The sequence below is a fragment of the Homo sapiens genome, chromosome 2, assembly GCF_000001405.40.
Source record: "Homo sapiens chromosome 2, GRCh38.p14 Primary Assembly".
Classification (NCBI taxonomy): domain Eukaryota; kingdom Metazoa; phylum Chordata; class Mammalia; order Primates; family Hominidae; genus Homo; species Homo sapiens.
Window position 1 is genome coordinate 27,308,670 of NC_000002.12, and position 19,025 is coordinate 27,327,694.

The 19,025-nt window shown below is 50.2% G+C and overlaps 2 protein-coding genes across 21 annotated transcripts in view, besides 9 other annotated features; both read right to left on the reverse strand.

Moving 5' to 3' along the window:
* MPV17 (mitochondrial inner membrane protein MPV17) lies at positions 823-14,428 on the reverse strand. 3 transcript variants are annotated; one of them, NM_002437.5, is made up of 8 exons: positions 14,383-14,428; positions 13,779-13,853; positions 4,325-4,440; positions 4,011-4,103; positions 3,825-3,920; positions 3,545-3,577; positions 3,230-3,282; positions 823-1,312 (listed from the first exon to the last, which is right to left on the reverse strand). In NM_002437.5, exons 2-8 carry the CDS (start codon positions 13,846-13,848, stop codon positions 1,243-1,245), a joined length of 531 nt encoding a protein of 176 aa, NP_002428.1. In that variant the 5' UTR covers positions 13,849-13,853; positions 14,383-14,428; the 3' UTR covers positions 823-1,242. The 3 variants fall into 3 exon arrangements, with proteins under 3 accessions (NP_002428.1, XP_005264383.1, XP_016859640.1); XM_005264326.5 differs by having other exon boundaries at positions 14,321-14,428; XM_017004151.2 differs by lacking the exon at positions 14,383-14,428 and adding an exon at positions 8,409-8,504 and having other exon boundaries at positions 13,779-13,916.
* Positions 11,807-12,410: an enhancer, noted in NCBI's record as "H3K27ac-H3K4me1 hESC enhancer chr2:27543343-27543946 (GRCh37/hg19 assembly coordinates)". NCBI's record gives its function as "activates a minimal SCP1, AML or CMV promoter by ChIP-STARR-seq in primed H9 embryonic stem cells {active_cell/tissue: H9 hESC(primed)}" and the evidence as "EXISTENCE:reporter gene assay evidence [ECO:0000049][PMID:30033119]".
* Positions 12,413-12,707: an enhancer, noted in NCBI's record as "tiled region #9483; HepG2 Activating DNase unmatched - State 1:Tss, and K562 Activating DNase unmatched - State 5:Enh". NCBI's record gives its function as "activates a minimal TATA promoter and a strong SV40 promoter by Sharpr-MPRA in HepG2 and K562 cells {active_cell/tissue: HepG2 | K562}" and the evidence as "EXISTENCE:reporter gene assay evidence [ECO:0000049][PMID:27701403]".
* Positions 12,413-12,727: a biological region, named in NCBI's record as "Sharpr-MPRA regulatory regions 9483 and 12628".
* Positions 12,433-12,727: an enhancer, noted in NCBI's record as "tiled region #12628; HepG2 Activating DNase unmatched - State 1:Tss, and K562 Activating DNase matched - State 5:Enh". NCBI's record gives its function as "activates a minimal TATA promoter and a strong SV40 promoter by Sharpr-MPRA in HepG2 and K562 cells {active_cell/tissue: HepG2 | K562}" and the evidence as "EXISTENCE:reporter gene assay evidence [ECO:0000049][PMID:27701403]".
* Positions 13,823-13,872: an enhancer, noted in NCBI's record as "active region_15495". NCBI's record gives its function as "activates an Ori minimal core promoter by ATAC-STARR-seq in GM12878 lymphoblastoid cells {active_cell/tissue: GM12878}" and the evidence as "EXISTENCE:reporter gene assay evidence [ECO:0000049][PMID:35858748]".
* Positions 13,883-13,972: an enhancer, noted in NCBI's record as "active region_15496". NCBI's record gives its function as "activates an Ori minimal core promoter by ATAC-STARR-seq in GM12878 lymphoblastoid cells {active_cell/tissue: GM12878}" and the evidence as "EXISTENCE:reporter gene assay evidence [ECO:0000049][PMID:35858748]".
* Positions 13,983-14,032: an enhancer, noted in NCBI's record as "active region_15497". NCBI's record gives its function as "activates an Ori minimal core promoter by ATAC-STARR-seq in GM12878 lymphoblastoid cells {active_cell/tissue: GM12878}" and the evidence as "EXISTENCE:reporter gene assay evidence [ECO:0000049][PMID:35858748]".
* Positions 14,083-14,142: an enhancer, noted in NCBI's record as "active region_15498". NCBI's record gives its function as "activates an Ori minimal core promoter by ATAC-STARR-seq in GM12878 lymphoblastoid cells {active_cell/tissue: GM12878}" and the evidence as "EXISTENCE:reporter gene assay evidence [ECO:0000049][PMID:35858748]".
* Positions 14,265-15,237: an enhancer, noted in NCBI's record as "NANOG-H3K27ac-H3K4me1 hESC enhancer chr2:27545801-27546773 (GRCh37/hg19 assembly coordinates)". NCBI's record gives its function as "activates a minimal SCP1, AML or CMV promoter by ChIP-STARR-seq in primed H9 embryonic stem cells {active_cell/tissue: H9 hESC(primed)}" and the evidence as "EXISTENCE:reporter gene assay evidence [ECO:0000049][PMID:30033119]".
* GTF3C2 (general transcription factor IIIC subunit 2) overlaps positions 17,185-19,025 on the reverse strand; it is a 30,911-nt gene continuing 29,070 nt past the window's right edge. For all 18 annotated transcript variants that reach the window (NM_001394514.1, NM_001394516.1, NM_001394512.1 and 15 more), the window contains 2 exons: positions 18,508-18,615; positions 17,185-18,224 (listed from right to left, as the gene is read on the reverse strand). In NM_001394514.1, the coding sequence (NP_001381443.1) occupies positions 18,006-18,224; positions 18,508-18,615 (327 nt within the window). In that variant the 3' untranslated portion in view covers positions 17,185-18,005. The remainder of the gene's footprint in view (positions 18,225-18,507; positions 18,616-19,025) is intronic.

Below are 19,025 nucleotides of genomic sequence, written 5' to 3' on the forward strand. Positions count from 1 at the left end.
TGGAACCCACTGCCTCCCTGCAGCTATCAGTTCTGCAAATGCAGGCATCAGGAGTCCACCGCTGGCACTCAGCCAACACAGTGGGACCCACTGAGAGGCAGTCTGCCACAACCAAAGTCTCCCAGCATTCTTATCTTTTTCCAGCCCCAGGATCCAAATTGTAGGGCTGTCTGACAGGCACCATGTAACAGAGGGTCTCTAGCATCCGAGTGCTTTCAGACCACAAATGGCTGGCCCATCTGCTTTTGAGTTTGCCAAAGTAGTTTAGCAAAGTTCAGTTTCTCTCCTGGGAATCATAGCAGCAGTGTAACTCTGCCCATGAGCAGCAAAGAAATATGGGTTCAAGTTTCTGCTAACTCCTGGTGTGGACAGGTCACCTCCCTCCTACCAACCTCAGGGTCCTCATTTGTAAGACTGGGCTTGGCCAGGCGCGGTGGCTCACGCCTGTAATCCCAACACTTTGGGAGGCCGAGGCAGGCGGATCACGAGGTCAGTAGTTTGAAACCAGCCTGGCCAATATGGCGAAACCCCATCTCTACTAAAAATACAAAAATTAGCCGGGCGTGGCGGTATGCGCCTGTGGTCCCAGCTACTCAGGAGGCTGAGGCAGGAGAACTGCTTGAACCCAGGAGGCGGAAGCTGCAGTGAGGCAAGATCGCGCCACTGCACTCCAGCCTGGGAGACAGAGCAAGACCCTGTCTCAAAAAAAAAAAAAAAAAAAAAAAAAAAAATTGGGCTTGGTGGTCTCTTGGCTTCTTTCCAGCTCTAGAAATGACTCCCCAATAGTTTTCTGCTTAAAAACTTACTCATTACCACTGCAGATTCCGGATTACATATTTAATAACATATTTACTGAGGCACCATATAAAGGGTTCCGGGAGTCTCTAAAGAGCTGGAGCTACAAGAAGCCTAGGCAGGGTTAGAGTAACAAATGTGTCTATGAAGAGTGGGGATGAGTGGCATTTGCTGGGATATGGGTGTAAAGTTGATAAGGTCATGAAGGTTCAACAGATATTTATGGAGTGCCTAGTATGTGGTGGGAATAAGACTATTATCAAGGGCTCTAAAGCAGTCAGTGTACATTTTAGAGTGAAGAGGGGCATTGCAGGGTGCTAGTCCTCTTAAGCTCTGACCGGCAACCCAACCCCGTGGAAACTGGTATGCCCACTTTGAGGAGGTTGTCTGACCGTTCCAGGGTCAAGCTGCATCACTGCAAGGTGGAAACGATGGAGTGAGGCAGGCTTAGAGCCGATGTGCCTTCCAGGACAGGTAGGAGTTCCAGATAACAGCAACACATTGGACAACGGCCAACCTAAGGAACAGGAATAACACAATGAAGAGGAGGAAGGCTAAGCAGTGAGCAAGGGCTGGAGATGGGAGCATGAAATGGCAAAGGAGGGATCATGACAAAGGATTGGCAGGTTTAGGTCTCTTTCCTTCAGCACCTTTTTTTTGAGATGGAGTCTCCTCTGTTGCCCAGGCTGGAGTGCAGTAGCACAATCTTGGCTCACTGCCTCCCGGGTTCAATCAATTCTCGTGCCTCAGCCTCCCAAGTAGCTGGGACTACAGGTGTGCTCCACCACACCTGGCTAATTTTTGTATTTTTAGGAGAGACAGGGTTTCACCATGTTGGCCAGGCTGGTCTCGAACTCCTGACCTCAAGTGAGCCACCCACCTCGGCCTCCCAAAGTGCTGGGATTACAGGTGTGAGCCACGACACCCAGCCCTTTCAGCACCCTATGAAGGGCCTGTGTGGCTTGCACTAAAGGACAACTGGCTCAAATTCTAGTGCCATCCCAGAGCTCTGTTTCCTGGCTGAGAGCCTCAAAGGCTAAATATTCAGCGGCTCTCTTGCCATGCATAGCTCTGTTAATCACAGAAAGGGCCCCTATCTGGGCCCCTTCTAAGTTCATTGATCTGTCTTGTACCAGCTGAGATTTCATCTTCCGAAATGTACGGACTATCATATAAAGTAGCATCTTTCTGTTTTAAATTAACCTTGCTCTGGTTTCAAAGAGTGTTGCAAAGGACCCTAATGTTTAGGATTTGGTTCATAAGTCTGTATTCCTTTTTTGTTTTTTCGGGTTTTTTTTGAGACGGAGTCTCGCTCTGTTGCCCAGGCTGGAGTGCGGTGGCAAGATCTTGGCTCACTGCAACCTCCGCCTCCCAGGTTCAAGCGATTCTCCTCCCTCAGCCTCCCGAGTAGCTGGGACTACAGGCACCTGCCACCACACCCAGCTAATTTTTGTATTTTTAGTAGAGACAGGGTTTCAACATATTGGCCAGGCTGGTCTCGAATTCCTGACCTTGTGATCCACCTGCCTCAGCCTCCCAAAGTGTTGGGATTACAGGCGTGAGCCACTGTGTCCAGCCTTTTTTTTTTTTTTTTTTTTTTTTTTTTTTGGAGACAGGGTCGTCTCACTCTGTCACCAGGCTGAAATGCAGTGGCACAATCTCAGTTCACAGCAACCTCCATCTCACAGGCTCAAGTGATCCTCCCACCTCAGCCTCCCGAGTAGCTGGGACTACGGGCACATGTTACCATGTGACTGGCTAATTTTTTGTATTTTCTGTAGAGATGAGGTCTCACTATATTGCCCAGGCTGGTGTGAAACTCCTGGACTCAAGCAAACCTCTTGCCTCAGCCTCCCAAAGTGCTAGAATTACAGGTGTGAGCCACCGTGCCCAGCCAGTCTGTATTCGTTTTAGCTATGCTACTCATGTACATTTTGGCCCTGTTCCCTCTGAAGCGTTCCATATTTTCCCCTGTTCCCACGATCCTTCACCTTCAAGCATTTGAACCACACATCTTCAGTGCCACTATCTTTTTGGGTGCAGTTCAGCAACTGTCTTTATTGTGAGTGTCTGACCAGGCTCCTACTTGGCCTTCTGGTCTACCTCTCTGTCTAACCTAGGCTGCAGCACCCCAGCCACTGTCCCTCCAGATATGCCATCAAAGACGGAGCTCAGGTGGGATGGAGACAAGGGTGGTAGAAGCAGGATCCTCCCTAGGGAGATGAAGAAGGTCAGTGGGCAGACACTCTGGGACAGTTTCCGGAAATGGCAAGACATTCTGAATAACACGCTTGGGAATCTGAGGAACTCTGATCACGGCTCAGTGTTCCGTTTGGGGGTCTAAGGTAGCTCAAGGTTGAAATGAGAATCATTTTGTCTCCAACTGTTGGTAACGTGGGTCTTCCTTGATGGGTGGGGTAGGGGTGCAACATACCTGTAATGAAGGGGGACCAGGTAGAAGTTGGCTAACTGCACAGCAGGCCATAGCTGCAAGAGAAAATGTAAAGGTTGGATGGCTGCCCCACCACCTGACCCCAGACTCACTGTCTTGCCTGGCCCTACCCCAACTTCTGCACACAAGAAAAAGGTGAACAGTTGGGTGATGGCTTCCCTATTTATGGTGCCCATCCTGGGAATGAAAGAGTAATCCCAACGGAAGGGTTTCCCATGTCAGGAGGACCCCCCAATCCCAGGACAGTTCTAGACTTAAGGAAGCAGGAGAACAAGCAGTTGAGGTGTCAGCTCTTACATAGTAGTTGGTGATAAGGGCATCAGGATAATCCTGGGGAGACAGAGAAGGAACAAATTAACACTTGCGCCTCCAAGCAGCTCCCACTTCCCAGTATGAATGTCACACACAGACTTGGGTTCAAAGAGCACATTCCTGCACCATAACCCTCAGCTCCTCTCCTCCATGGCCTGGGGCCCTACCTGCACTTACCCCCTTTTTTATCCCTGTAAAACCTGTCTTCTTCCCCTGGGCTGTCAGCCCGCCAGCCAGAGACATTCTCCACACCTGCCCAGCTCACCCGCTGTAGTTTGGCCCAGTTGTCCTGGGCTGACAGTCCATTAAGTGCCCCTACCAGTGGGAGAAAGCAGCCTAGAAAACACGGGGCAAAGCCCCCCTAGGGAAGAGAAATTAAAGTCCTATGAGTGCTGAAATCCCCACCTACCCCCAACACAGCTCACCCTCCCCACTCTGTTCTCCTGCTCACCTGATCCAACAACATCTTCTTCAGTGCATCCACTTTGGTGGTGCCAGGGATGAACCGATCCAAAACCTTGTACCAGCCTCCTACCACAGGGCCCTGGAAGTAAACCCCAGATAGCAGCAGGCTGCAGTGAGGGAGCCCTAGGCCTCTACCTCACTAAGCTCCCTGCCCCAAGTATCAGAATAGGGGAAGTGGACACTAAGAAAAAAGAGGGCGGCAGGTTGGCTTAGGTGTGAGAGTCCAAGGGAAGCCAAAGGATGGCAAAGAACTAAGACCACTGTTGAGTCCACTGAAGCCCTGTTGAGGGGAGAACTTACCACAAAGCCACAGCCCAGGGACACCATGGTCAGAGTCCGGCCTCTCTGGTGTTCCTGCAGACCCCGCCTCTCCACCAGCTGCTGTGAGATAATGTCACCCAGGCCCATCAGGGACCCTATGCAGGGTACACAGGTGTTGTCAGGACATCTCCTGGGATGGGCTGCCATTCCAAGGAGGGAGGGACATCTGCTGACCTCCACTGAGGCTCTGGTACTCTGAACCCCAGGGCTTCATTGTGGAAACAAATGACTAGTCCCTTCCTGCTGCCTCAAAGCCCTCACCTCCCCAATGATGGTGACACCTCATGTGTATTCTGTCAGAAACTGGGATGAGCAGACCCAGGTCCAGGAACTTTGCATTGAGCAGTAAAGGGAAGTCAGAGTCAGAAAGTATAGAGAGAGGAAGGAGAATTTAAGGCCACAGGGCTGAGAACCACAGACTGTCAGAATCAAAAGGGGCTTTAAGATAATTTAATGCAAACCACTTATTTTAGAGGTATGGAAATGAAGTCCAGGGTCTCACATAACCAGTAAGTGCAGGGCCAATGCAACAACCAGGTGGCTGGATTCCTAGACACTGTTCTTTCCAGGACTCAGCACAATGAATAAATCATGTGTAGAATGGTAGGAAACCCTGTTTTCTCCCCCAAGCCCAATGCAAGACCCTGCCAACAGCTTTCACCTTGGTCTAGGGGATCTCTATTTGTAGAGAACAGCAAGAATAACTTTTTTTTTTAAAGACTGAGTCTCACTCTGTTGTCCAGGCTAGAGTGCAGTGGCATGATCTTGGCTCACTGCAACCTCTGCCTCCCGATTCAAGCGATTCCCCTGCCTCAGCCTCTCAAGTAGCTGGGACTACAGGCACCCACCACCATGCCTGGCTATTTTTTGTATTTTTAGTAGAGATGGGGTTTTGCCATGTTAGCCAGGCTGATCTTGAACCCCTGACCTCAGGTGATCTGCTCACCTCGGCTTCTCAAAGTGCTGAGATTACAGGCATAAGCCACTGTGCCTGGCCAGAATAAATCTTTTTCTAAAACAAGAGTGCCGGCCTGGAATGGTGGCTCACACCTGTAATCCCGGCACTCTGGGAGGCTGAGGCAGGAGGATTGCTTGAGCCCAAGAGTTTGAGTCCAGCCTGGGCAATATAGCAAGACCCCACTTCTACAAAAAATTTTTTTAAACAATTAGCTGGGCACGGTGGCACGTGCCTGTAGTCCCAGCTACTCAGGAGGCTGAAGTAGGAGGACTGTTTGAGCCCAGGAGGTCCAGGCTGCAGTGATCACGCCATTACACTGCTGCCTGGGCGACAGAACAAGACCCTATCTCAAAAAGAAAAAAAAAGTAATAAAACAAGAGTGCTCAAATGGTCATAAGCAGGAAGATGACTGGTTGAGCTGATAAGAGTCCCCACAACAAAGAGTCTTGGCCACCTCTTAGCACAATCAGCTAAACCAAGATTTCCCCCATTCACAACCTTAGATTGAGTTGGCAATGGATATAGTGGTCATTTCCCTTCCAGGACTCTGCACCTGCTTCCCTTGCCCCAACTGCACAGATACCCAGCTCCAAGCAGCCCTATTTAGACACCCACACCCAGAAACGATGAAAGAAATCATCACTGTTTACAGAGCCCCCAGTCCATTATGGTGGTGTGATGGTTTCTAGCAAATACACACTTACCAGGCCACTTGGGAGTGACCGTGTGATTTCCAGCTCACCTGTCTATCTCACCGAGTAATGAGAGCCCCCCTCCAGACCCACAGTCACACTGTCCCTGTGCCCTCAATTAGCACTGGACAAACACATCCTTCTGCCCCATTCCTTGGCCCAGAACTGGCTCTGACGTCCATGCTGGCTGCACACTCACTGTTGCGTTCTTCCTCCACACCCTCTGCCCGGCCGGCCCTGCCCCTGAGCAGCCTAGTCAGTGGCAGCTGGGTATGGCTGAGAGCTGGGGTTGGGGATGGAAACCCGTGGCTCACCTCGGCTACTGGCCATGGAGCAGCTCTGGGCACCCCCAGTCCTGCCTCGTCTCTCCCTGAAACTCCCAAAGTGGTGGGGGTCTTCCCAGAACACTGCGAGGCATGACCTCCCAGGGCCAAGGATAGAATCCTAGATACCTTTGTTATCCCATCCCCTCACCATGCAGCTAAGCAAGCTACTGGTAGGTGCTCAGAAAATAAAGGGAAAACGTCAAATGTACTGTCCCAAACAGCAGGACGACTCTGAGAAAGGGTCTGAAGAATTCTTAAGTTGCCCAAAGGTCCAAGTCGGGTAGAAGGTGTGAGGACGTCGGGGGAACTGCAGGTTTGCTCCCACCCGCACCCGGTTCCCTATCCCTCCAGCCAGGGATGAGAGGGAGCTGCTGCAGCCCTGCAGAAAGGGAAGAGTGCTGCCAAGAAGGCCAGGGGATGGTGAGGCAGAAAAGGCAGTCCTTTCTCAAATGAAGGGACCAACAGTGTAACGGTCTACTTTGGTAAGGTGTTTACAAAAGACTCTTATACATTTAATCCTCACAAAAGATCTGGGAGGTAGGTGGTCACACCTCCATTCATCCATTCATTCATTCACTCATTTATTTTTGAGATGGAGTCTCATTCTGTCGCCCAGGCTGGAGTGCAGTGGTGCGATCTCCGCTCACTGCAACCTCTGCCTTCCGGGTTCAAGCGATTCTCCTGCCTCAGCCTCCTGAGTAGCTGGGATTGCAGGTGCCCACCACCACACCTGGCTGATTTTTGTATTTTTAGTAGAGATGGGGTTTCACCATGTTAGCCAGGCTGGTCTCAAACTCCTGACCCCAGGTGATCCACCTGCCTTGGCCGCCCAAAGTGTTGGGATTATAGGTGTGAGCCACGGCACCCAGCCTACACCCCCATTTAATGATGAGTCTTTGAGAGATGAGATGACTTGGTAAGGAGTGCAGTTGGAACTGAACCCAGGCCTTCTCTCAAGGAGGACCAAGGAGGCCAGGGTATTCCTGGCATGGGCTGAGATGGGCTCAGAGGTCAGTGGCACCAGGAGGCCCCTGTGGCTGCTCCCCTGCTGGGTGTTCCTGCCCAAGTGAGGCCCCAAAGGGCCTGCATATCAAAGGACATTCCCTAGACTAATGCACTTCCTCTCTGTCTTTACTCCCCCAAATTCCATCATTCTGCTCCTTGTCACCTCGTGGGGATGGCAGACAGCAATATTCCTGGGAAAGAAACAGAGAAGTGTGTGTTTTCACTCTTCATGACTTGCCAACAGTCACACAACAAGCTAGAGGCAGAGCTGGAATGAAAAGCCAAGTCCCTGACTTCTAGCCCCATAGTTCTGGAAGCCTGCAGCCTTGGAGAAAGATGGATTCAAGTCCCCCAGACTGTGCCCATCAAGCCTGAGGGACTACCAAGTGACAGGGCAGCAGTAGGGGTGAGTAGGTGGTATGTAGATCTGCAGTCCCTGACGGTTCATTTCAGAAGAGTGGTGCCCAGGGATTCCTTTGCCCACAGATGATCAGGCCCCCTGTGCCTGCAGCAACTCCAAGGTGGTATAAGGCTTTGGAGCAAGCATAGAGCAAGCCTGCTTTTCCAGCCCAAGTGACCCTTTGGGCAGGAAGGACCCAGACATTCAGATTCCTCATCCCACATTTCCCAACCCAGAGCCCAAATAGACCCAAACCACCCCAGCCTCTGGGAGATCTCCTGGATATATTTGGTTGGTCTGGACTCTCCAGTGCTCTGGGCCCCCTCCCCTTGGACTTGTTTCTAGGGAGTTGGGACTGGAGGCCTGCAGACACATAATGGCCAGAGGCCTGATGGGGCAGGGCTAGGGGCTGCTGGGCAGTGATGCCCAATGACAGGCTGGGCGTGGAGCCCAGCGAGCAGATGCTGGCGCAGGTGTGACATCATGCCCCTGGGTAGGTGCCAGTTCTCATGCCGTCACTCCCGAACAGATCCAGCGGCCAGGGGGAAGGGAGCCTGCCTCTGAGCAGATCAATTTGGGACCACTTCCTGCCCACTAGTGGAAAAGCCCCAACTTCCACACCCTCTTCCCGGGCATGGGCAGGGTAAATTCCCTACTTCTCCTATTTTGTTCCTCTACTTACTTTTGTGGCTTTTGAGTTTCATGCGCAGAAGGCAGAGGGGCAAGAAGTGGCTTCTTGGAGTGAGGAGCAGGAAGCGTGTCCTTCAGTCCAGGAGGCCTGGGTCGGCAGGTATAGCTACTGGCATGGGGCCAGCAGTGCTGCCTTCCTCCCCAGAAGTCTGCAAACATTAGTTAGCTGCCTAGGATAGGGGCTCAGTCTGGCACAGAGCCCAGAGGGAGTGGAAGCCCAGCAGCGGGAGGGGAGTGGATCCTCTGGGATTATTCTGAATGCTCTCCCATTTCTGACCTGAACCCATCCTACTGCTAGAAAATGAGACAAAACGGGTAGTTTTGCAGCTTGTTACGTATCTAAGCTCAGATCAGCTGGGGTTGCACTCAGCATCTGGAGGCTCCAGTAGTCTCAAGTGCAAGGCAGTATGGTGGGCAGTGCCCTAGGTTATAACGCCAGCTCAGCCACTGACTATCTGAGACCTCAGTGCATGACACTCCCACTCCTGCCTCAGTTTCCTTCTCTGCAGTCTCCTGGGCTGGACAGGATTGTATGTAAGGCCTATTGAGCTCTCATACCCTGGCTTAATTCAGACTCCAGGGAAACCAGTATTTGTAAGAGCTCAGCTGCTCCCACAGCAGGACCGAGTAGACTAAGATGGATGAAGCTCGGCCCTGGGCCCACTGGAGAGTGGAAGGGCCCTCAAAGAAGGAAGGGATAAGGCTGACTCACACTCCATAGAACATACAGTAAACCTTTCCCCAGGCTACCTTGTTCTGGACTCTGGCTTGGCCAAAACTGGTATACTAGACATTTCTTTTGAATCATTTCAAATGTTCTTGATTCACTATCTCTTACTCCAGCCATTACTGCAGTTCTACTGGATAGATTCTTGCTTCAGGCCTGTGCCACACCTGGGCCTTTGCTATTGATGGCTGCAGTGACTATGCATGTGTGAACTAGTAGCGGAGCGGAGTTATCCCATGAGGTCAATCTTTCTTTTCTTTTTTTTTTTTTTTTTGAGACAGAGTCTTGCTTTGTCACCCAGGCTGGAGTGCAGTGGCACAATCTCAGCTCACTGCAACCTCTGCCTCACAGGTTCAAGCAATTCTCCTGTCTCCGCCTCCCAAGTAGCTGGGACTACAGGCACCTGCCACCACACCCAGCTAATTTTGTATTTTTAGCAGAGATGGGGTTTCACCTTGTTGGTCAGCTGGTCTCGAACTCCTGACCTCAGGTTATCCACCCACCTCAGCCTCCCAAAGCGCAGGGATTACAGGCGTGAGCACTGCGCCCGGCCTTTTTTTTTTCAGATGGAGTCTCGCTCTGTCGTCCAGGCTGGAGTGCAGTGGCAGGATCTTGGTTCATTGCAACCTCTACTTCCTGGGTTCAAGCAATTCTCCTGCCTCAGCCTCCTGAGTAGCTGGGATTACAGGCATGCGCCACCATGCCCGGCTAATTTTTGTATTTTTAGTAGAGACGGGACTTCACCATGTTGGCCAGGCTGGTCTCGAACTCCTTACCTCAAGTGATCTGCCTGCCTCGGCCTCCCAAAGTGCTGGTGAGCCACCATACCCAGCCTGGGGTAAGTCTTTGGAATCTTTGACCATTGTGGGATGGGAGTGGCAGATAAAGGTTTCTTCTTTTCTCTAGAAAATAGCTATTCATCCAGACAGTCCTAAAGAGTATTTCTTTTCTTTTCTTTTCTTTTTTTTTGGAGATGGAGTCTCGCTCTGTCGCCCAGGCTGGAGTGCTGTAGCGCAATCTCAGCTCACTGCAACCTCCGCCTCCCAGGCTCAAGCAATTTTCCTGCCTCAGTCTCCCGAGTAGCTGGGATTACAGGCACCCGCCACCATGCCCAGCTAATTTTTGTATTTCTAGTGGAGACGGGGTTTCACCATGTTGGCCAGGCTGGTCTCAAACTTCCGACCTCAGGTGATCCGCCCACCTCAGCCTCCCAAAGTGCTGGGATTACAGGCATGAGCCACCACGCCCAGACACTTTAAGGAGTATTTCAAAAAGTTTCTCAGTTCCAAGGGACTGAGCAACAGCTGCCCTTAGCAGTGGCTAATTCAATAATGCATCCTTAGAGTGGCTCTCCCTCTTTCCCTCCATGGGATCACTCCCTACTACCTAACAAGGTATCTGCACATAAGCTTCAGGCTCTGCTTTCCGGAACCCAAGGCTAAGATAGTGATCCATGTTCAGATTATGGCAAGTGGAACAAACCTAACCCAAACGCCACTATAAAAAGAATAAAGCTTGGGCAATATGGCAAAACCCCATCTCTACCAAAAAACAAAAGAAATTAGCTGGGCATGGTGGTGCAAGCCCGCGGTCCCAACCACTCGGGAGGCTAAGGCAGAGGATCCTCTGTTGCCCAGGCTGGAGTGCAGTGGCATAGTCACAGTTCAGGATGGGATCATGCCACTGCACTCCAGCCTGGGCAAAAGAGCAAGACCCCGTCTCAAATAATAATAATAATAAAATAGTTTATTGTGCCTGTGTTGCCAACACTCATAGAAAGAACCAACCTGTTGAGTCTTTAAGTTCACTGAGCATTTAAAAACATTTCCAGGTGGGGCCTACTGGATCACACCTGTAATCCTAGTACTCTGGGAGGCTGAGGTGGGCGGATCACTTGAGGTCAGGAGTTCAAGACTAGCCTGGCCAACATGGAGAAAGCCCATCTCTACTAAAAATACAAAAAAGTAGCCTGGTGTGGTGCTGTGCACTTGTAGTCCCAGCTACTCAGGAGGCTGACGCATGATAATTGCTTGAACCCAGGAGGCGGAGGTTGCAGTGAGCTGATATAGCACCACCACTCTCCAGCCTGGGTAACAGGGTGACACCTTATCTCAAAAAAAAAAAAAAAAGAAAAAGAAAAAAAGGCTGAGCTCAGTGGCTCACACCTGTAACCCCAGCACTTTAGGAGGCCGAGGCGGGTGAATCACGAGGTCAAGTGTCCGAGACCAGCCTGGCCAACATGGTGAAATCCCGTCTCTACTAAAAATAGAAAAAATTAGCTGGGCGTGGTGGCGCATGCCTATAATCCCAGCTGCTGAAGAGGCTGAGGCAGGAGAATCACTTGAACCCGGGAGGCGGAGGTTGCAGTGAGTCGAGATCACGCCACCGCACTCCAGCCCGGGCAACAGTGCAAGACTCCATCTCGAAGAAAAAAAAAAAGAAAAAAAATGTCCAAAACCTTTTCACAGTGATACTCCTATACTGACCCTGTGAGGTCATATAACTAAACTCAAGATTTTTTTTTTGTTGATTTTTTTTTTTGAGATGGAGTTTCGCTCTTGTTGCCCAGGCTGGAGTGCAATGGCACAATCTTGGCTCACCGCAACCTCTGCCTCATGGGTTCAAGTGATTCTCCTGCCTCAGCCTCCCAAGTAGCTGGGATTACAGGCATGCGCCACCATACCCGGCTAATTTTGTATTTTTAGTAGAGACGGGGTTTCACCGTGTTAGCCAGGTTGGTCTCGATCTCCTGACCTCGTGATCTGCCCACCTCGGCGTCCCAAAGTGCTGGGATTACAGGTGTGAGCCACCGCGCCCAGTCCCTAAACTCAAGTTTTAAAAGAGGAAACTAAGGCTCAAAGAAGCTTACTGACTTGTCCTGATTAATGCACCTACTAGGTGCTATGGTTTTAAGATTCAAATCCTGGTCTTCTAAGTCTGAAATCTCTGTACTGTTTTCCAGTGTGATGAGCTATCCCATGGGACCTTAGGAACTACTGTGCTGGGGTCCAAAAATGGCTCAGTGAACTAAAGCCACTTCCACCTTTTATTTGTAGTTTGATCCAAATACAGTGAACAGCAGGAAAGGAAAAGTCTGGATGGTCTGAAAAAGTCTGGGAAAAGTGCTGGGAGGCTACATTTTGCTTCAGGGCTGAGCTGGGACGTCAGCATAGCCTCAGGAAGACTGAGGCTGTGGAGCTGAAGGGCTCCAGCACCAAGAGCCCAGAACTCCAGCCACATGTCGGCACCTAGGCCTCCTTGGAGCTCTAGCTCCTGCCCTTGTCAGCTGCAGATGCCTCAGGTAGGGAAATATAAGGACTCTTTCCCTCCCTATTCTTGATGACCACAAGGGGGAATCTTCCATCTGGCAGTTATGGGCCCTGAGGGAATCTGAGCCTGGGCAAAGGGCCCAGCGTGTCAGTTCCCATCATAGCCACACTGTCCAGCATGAGTCACCACACACGTAGCCAGGTGAGTCATACAGGCTGACGGACGCTGAGGACAGGACAAGAGGTGGTTGGGCACCGGAGACTGGAGAGGGGCCCAGGGAAGGGCCAAAGAATCCATCTCCTGGCCATTCATGCAGTTAAGTTTCTGTGCCGATGCAGGGCTGTTCTGGTCACAGGATCCCTGTTCCACTCTGGCCTTCAGTAGCCCCCAATCCCTTCCAATAGTCCTCTTCTCAGAAGGCCAGTCATCACTAGAATCCTGTTCCCCTTCTCTAAACATGGGCAAGACCTCATCTTAATGTGATCACTCTTTGCACCCCAATGTTCTAAGGCCTTCTGACATTCCCCCTCTAAGACTTACTTATCTTCATGCCATCCTCTTACATTAGCTAACTTGCAAAATGAAGATGGTAACAAATGCAGGTAGGTCACTGCATTACCTCTGTGAGGTTAGTACTCAATCACTGCATTTGGAGTGACTGGTATCTGATCACTCCAAATGGATCAGGATGGAGTGATCAGATACCAATATACTAACCTTGGAGATACATATTTAGGCAGTAAATGATAACAAAAGCAAATGAACGATATAAACAAAACTCAGGAAATTTTGGGTGAATTACGGAGAGGCACTCAAGAGGTCTCAAAGCTGATTACTGACACAGGAGTGTTCAGTTTTAATGCCATTTAAACTGTACATACACATCTTAATCATTCTTTTGTATGTTTCACAATAAAAAATACCAAGAAAAACTGGGGTAAGAGTCTTGATTCAGCACTTATTAGGTGTGATCTAATGTGGACTCAAGTAACCCTCCTAGCTCACACACCTTTGTGGGGGCCCTATGCCATAACGTATATGAAAGTGCTTTGCATACGGTAAAATGTTTTCCAAGTTGAGGCCTCCTGGGGCAATGCCTTTATCCTTCAGGGCTGACTGTTCAGCTTTTTGAGGACTTTGAAATCCTAAAACCCTACTGCACAGCTTGGCCAACTACGCATACCCCTTAAAAACAGCCTTGGGGACCACCCTCCAAAACAGACTGGGGACAGTGTAGGATGAAAGACAGCCAACCCTTCAAGAGAGCCGAATAGAAACAGGAAGTGAGGGTGGTGCAGTGGGGCAAGCCTCTGGCTTCCAAATCAGTCTGCCCTGGTCCCACTCAAGTCCTAGAGGGACACTCACCAGCTGTCAGGACCTGTACTTTCCACGGGTGAGCGGCCAGGGCCCGCTGGTATGCCCGCCAGAGTGCCATGCTTCCTGTCAAGCCAAGAGGAGAGGGGGTCACCCCCACCGTCCCTCTCCACGACTAAGAAGCCGCCTGACATTCCCTTGTGCCCACTCCCTTCCCCTTCCCACTTCCAATGTGACTTAAAGGGGCAGAGGCCACATGAAGGATGCTTCCCAGACAGCTTCCTGTCGCAGGAGTCGCCTTAGACAATTGGGGAAGAGAGAAAGGCTGTGGGAAGCTATGGACTCCTGGTAGCAGCCACCAGCCACCCCAACCTCATTCCTGAAGCCAGACCACCTGGAAGCCTCCGTTCCCGACGGAGACACTCATGAGGACAGCTTTGCTCTGGCTTCTACCCAGAGCTTGGGTGCCTCAAAAGATAGCTTGGTCCGTCTCCAGATTCAGACTTGGTTGGAACCAGTTTGTAACCTTCCTGAGTCCAGCTCCAAACCGAAAATAGGGCCCGTCACTGCCCGGATATAGGATGACCACACACCTTGTGGGCACTCATGGCTTGCGACGCTTTAAGCCAGAGACCGCAGATCACCCGCCACTCACCTGAGCGCCGAGCCTCCCTCCCACGTGACAGGCTGGCCTAGGAACTTCCGCCACAAGTCCCGCCCCTTCCTCCCAGCGTCCTTCGGATTACGCAGCCAGGACAGGAATGGGGGTGGACCGAGCCATGAATACCCGTGGAGAGCGGCCTAACTCGGCCACCCACTCTGTGAGAGACCCCTTTTCCAGCTGGACTGTGCCGGACCCTGGTGTGGGGCCCGCCAGCCATATTTCTCACCTAAGTTCGACCCTCTGCCTCCTCCTGCCCCTTCTCTCCGCGCGAGACCCGGGCCTCTCTCAATCCGGTAGTCTCATTGTTCAGCCCACCCTCCCCGCATAACTGGCCATAACTACGATCCTTGTCTCAGCAATCGTAGTTAGGGAACTATAAGTTATAGTTAAGTGCGTGTTTTGTCTCTAGGTTCTTCACTGGCCTCAACTGTGAGCTCATGAGTGGGTAAAACTGGGGTCGTTCATATTTGTCGTCCTCATAGCAACTATTTCAGTGCTTTGCCGCAAACAGCCACTTAAGAAATACTGCGTATGTATGATTCTTCCACAGAAAGCATTGGAATTAGAACCTCAGAAGACATTAGGTATTGGCTCCCAAACTAACGGGCTGTGCAGCCTTGGTCATGACTAGACTTGATGTTAAGGCTCTGCATCTGTAAAATGAGGGAGGTTACACTATTGACTTTCCAAACTCGGCTCCTCAGTTCTAGGGATTTTTCAGATGTTTGTGTGTGGGGATGAGAGGGGCAGCATTACTACAGCTGCTTCTCCAACTTTTTTTTCCAAGTATATACTTCTCAAAAGACCCATTTTTAACGGGGCCCACAACTGCATGTTTGAAAACCAGTAAGCTAGGTGATTTCTTAATCCCCTTCCAGCTCTAACATTCTAAGAGTCTGTGAATATAGAGCAATATCCTTTCTAGAGCGTTGGAAATGTCTACAATATCCCTGGCAATGGACTTGTCAGGCTGGCAGGCTTTACTTATCTCCAGGGAGCCCACACGTCAGGAGGCACACTCTTTCAGGCTCTCCACCTGCCCAGCTCCACCCCCAATTTACTCAATTCCTTTATGATTAAGGCAGGGAGACTCCTGCCACAAATCCTGGAGAAACAGAGTAAGGAAGCAAGAGAAGTCAATGTCACAAACATTTAACTAAAATGCTATTTGCAAAACAGCATGCTAGAGGAGTGAACTGACAAAAGTAAATGTAATAGGAGACCAAATGTGGTAGGCTGTAAAGTTATATTCTGAAGTTAGACTGAGTTCAAATCCCCAGCACCACCACTTACTAGTTATATGACCTTGACCTTTTACAGACAGCTTACCCTCTCCAACTCTTTTATCATTAAGTAAAATGGCAATACCTACCTCATACAAGTGACACATGCGAAGTGCCTAAAATGGATCAAGTGCTTAATGCTTGTTTATCCTTTTTCCTCCCTTCCCCCTTGGGAACACAAGGGAGGGAAACTATTTTTTACTGGAGAAAACTGGGAAGCTCTTTGGTGAAGGTGGAATTTGAGCCGGGACCTTGAAGGATGAATTGAACTCAGGTGAAGATGGTGGAAAAAGACACTCTGGCGAAGGGAGGAATATGAGAAGAGGAATAAAGGTAGAGAAGTGTATGAACAATGGATAGTATGAAGTGGGTATATTGGGAGGGAGGGTTAGAAAGAGAAAAGGCTTGTTAGAGAAAAAGAACAAGGTCAAGACTAGGGCTGAGACTCAGTTGCAGAAGCAGGGCTGCCAGCACCAATCTACAGCCTCAAGTGTGGATCCCCAGGTCTCATCTTTTCTACCACTGAAAATAGGAAGGGGGCTGCCCTGTAGAATTGAGTAAAGCTTCTCTTCGACAGAAGGCACTTGCGTAACAGCTCAAAAAACAAAACTGGCTCAATGTGAGCTGGATCCCAATAGGGTAGTGCAACACTTGGCTTCTTTGCACTGACATGGGTTGTGGTCTCTGCTGTTGATAGACTTGGGTTTCCTCCAGGTCTATTTTCTCATCTGTACAGGATAGGGGCTGAACTCTTTTTGAGACGGAGTCTCGCTCCGTCACCCAGGCTGGAGTGCAGTGGCAGGATCTCGGCTCACTGCAACCTCTGCATCCCAGGTTCAAATGATTCTTCTGCCTCAGCCTCCTGAGTAGCTGGGATTGCAGGTGTGTGCCATCACACCTGGCTAATTTTTTACATTTTTGGTAGAGACGGGGTTTCACCATACATTGGCCAGGCTGGTCTTGAACTTCTGACCTCAAGTAATCCGCCTGCCTTGGCCTCCCAAAGTGTTGGGATTACAGGCGTGAGCCACCACACCTGGCCAGGACTAAACTTCTTGATCGCTTCTTCTTAAAGGAGATTTTCTGACAGATGATAAAGTCCCTACACTACATATTCAGCCAGTCTAGAATGCCAGAGGGTTTTGTTCCAGGTAGGCACTGATCTCATCTCCACTCTCTCCAAAAAGCAGCTGCCTGTTTTTTTCTATTTCCTGAGGTCATCCAACTATTTCCCTCCAAACCCCAGCCTATACTCCTAGGCATTTCAAGACCATGGTTTGCCTATTTCTCATCACTGGGGTGTGTCCTTGCTTAGGAGGCAGTATCATAGTCACTGTGAGTCTGCAGCATCCCACAAGAGGACTCTAACAAGATGAGATATAACAATACATTACAGTACTTGGGTTCTAAACACCTCCTATACATAGAACTGAAGTAGGTAAACATTCTAATGAGTCAACAATGTGACAGTATCATGAAGGATCAAAAATCATGACGTGTAAAAGAATGGTTGAAGTAACTGAAGATATTTAATCTAGAGAAGATTTGGGAAACACATGATAGCTATGGTTAAATACTTAACAGGGCAATCACAGGGAAGATGACTAGATTTCCTAACATCCATGAGTGAAATTTATAGAAGTATACTCTCTGACTTGATATAAAGGAAGATTTTAAAAAACATGACTGTTCAGGAGTGTTCAAGTAGGGTCAGATGACCAGTGATTGGGAATACTTCGTAAGCAGGAGCAAGTAAGATCTGAGCCACTGTTCTATCGGTAGGGTGTCTGTGGTATTCCTTGGTCAAAGAAGTACTCTAAGCAACTTCAGTCTCACGAATTACTATCACCCTCGTGGGCATACATGATGGTTACCCTAAAGAGGAAGTTTCAGAAGGCAGTAATATTGGATCCTGGAATAGTCAGACAGGAGCCTTCATGCAGATACCCTTTTCAGTTCTCCATACACCCATTCACAAGTGGTCACAAAAACACCCAGTACCTTTACTTGGCTTTACCCACTTAACAATATGCTCAATATGAGCAGTTTGACTCCCAAGCCTAGGTCAGGCCTGAGTGTTTCTCATGAGCCATAGTCTTAGGCTGAGGAGCCTTGAGAGTTGGTGGAGGGAGAGCCCCCCTGCCCGCAGGGGGCTGTGATCACAGAAGTCTGTAGAAAGAGTGGGATCTAAGGAGTCCTGGGGAGGCAGGCCTAAAGGTCCAGGCCTGGCATGATCACTGTCCAGGGAAGGCCCCCAGTTCCTATGGCTCTGTGCATAGGGGCCATTTGTTCTTGACCGACTTCACTCCAAGGATCTGGTGTGGGCCAAGGCTAGGGAGTGGGCAGAAGGCGATGGCTGGTTGGAGAGAAGCCAGGCCGTCTAGTGGGGGAGGATGGTTGGAACATAGCATTGAAGTGGGCTCGGCTTTCAAGCTGCATACGGTGGCCCAGTGGGGAGGCGAGTCCACGGACAAAATGGATTCGAACCAGCCCTGACTGCCCCCCAGATACCAGCCATCCATAGGAGTCCAGGTTTGGGCTGAAACGTACCTGTGAAGAGAACAGAAAACAAGAGAGAGATGCTCATGGGTGGTGCTTTAGGGTGACTCCTAGCTGTATGAACAAAAAAAAAAAATGAGCCACAATCTGAAAGGACAGGACCATGAGGGGTGACAGAGGTAAGAATGAAAAGCCAGTGAATGAGGTACGTCTGTCATGCTCTGGAGGAGGAGGAGGTTGTCATCTGTGTAACCTTTTCATCTACCATTTCATCAGCCCCAGGCCCAGAACTGGGGGGAAATGAGAGTGGAGGGTGGAGAGGATGAGAGACTACCTTATGAATAGCCTCCAGCTGCAGCCTGTCCAGGCAGAGTTGAGAATGCCCCTCTCCCTCCTGCATGCGCAGCATTGGTTCTCTACGGAGCAGATCATGGAATGAACCCTGGGGAAGGGAAATGGAATAGGAGAGAGAAAGTGAGACGCTCGTTTGTTTTTTTTAAGACGGAGTCTCGCTCTGTCACCCAGGCTGGAGTGCAGTGGCGCGATCTTGGCAGCTCACTACAACCTGTGCTTCCCAGGTTCAAGTGATTCTCCGCCTCAGCCTCCTGAGTAGCTGGGATTACAGGCGCCCGCCGTCACGCCCGGCAGATTTTTTGTATTTTTAGTAGACAGGGTTTCACCATGTTGGTCAGGCTGGTCTTGAACTCCTGACCTCAGGTGATCCGCCCACCTCAGCCTCCCAAAGTGCTAGGATTACAGGTGTGAGCCACTACGCCTGGCCCTTTTTTTTTTTTTTTTTTTTTTGAGACGGAGTCTTGCTGCGTTGCCAGGCTGGAGTGCAGTGGTGTGACC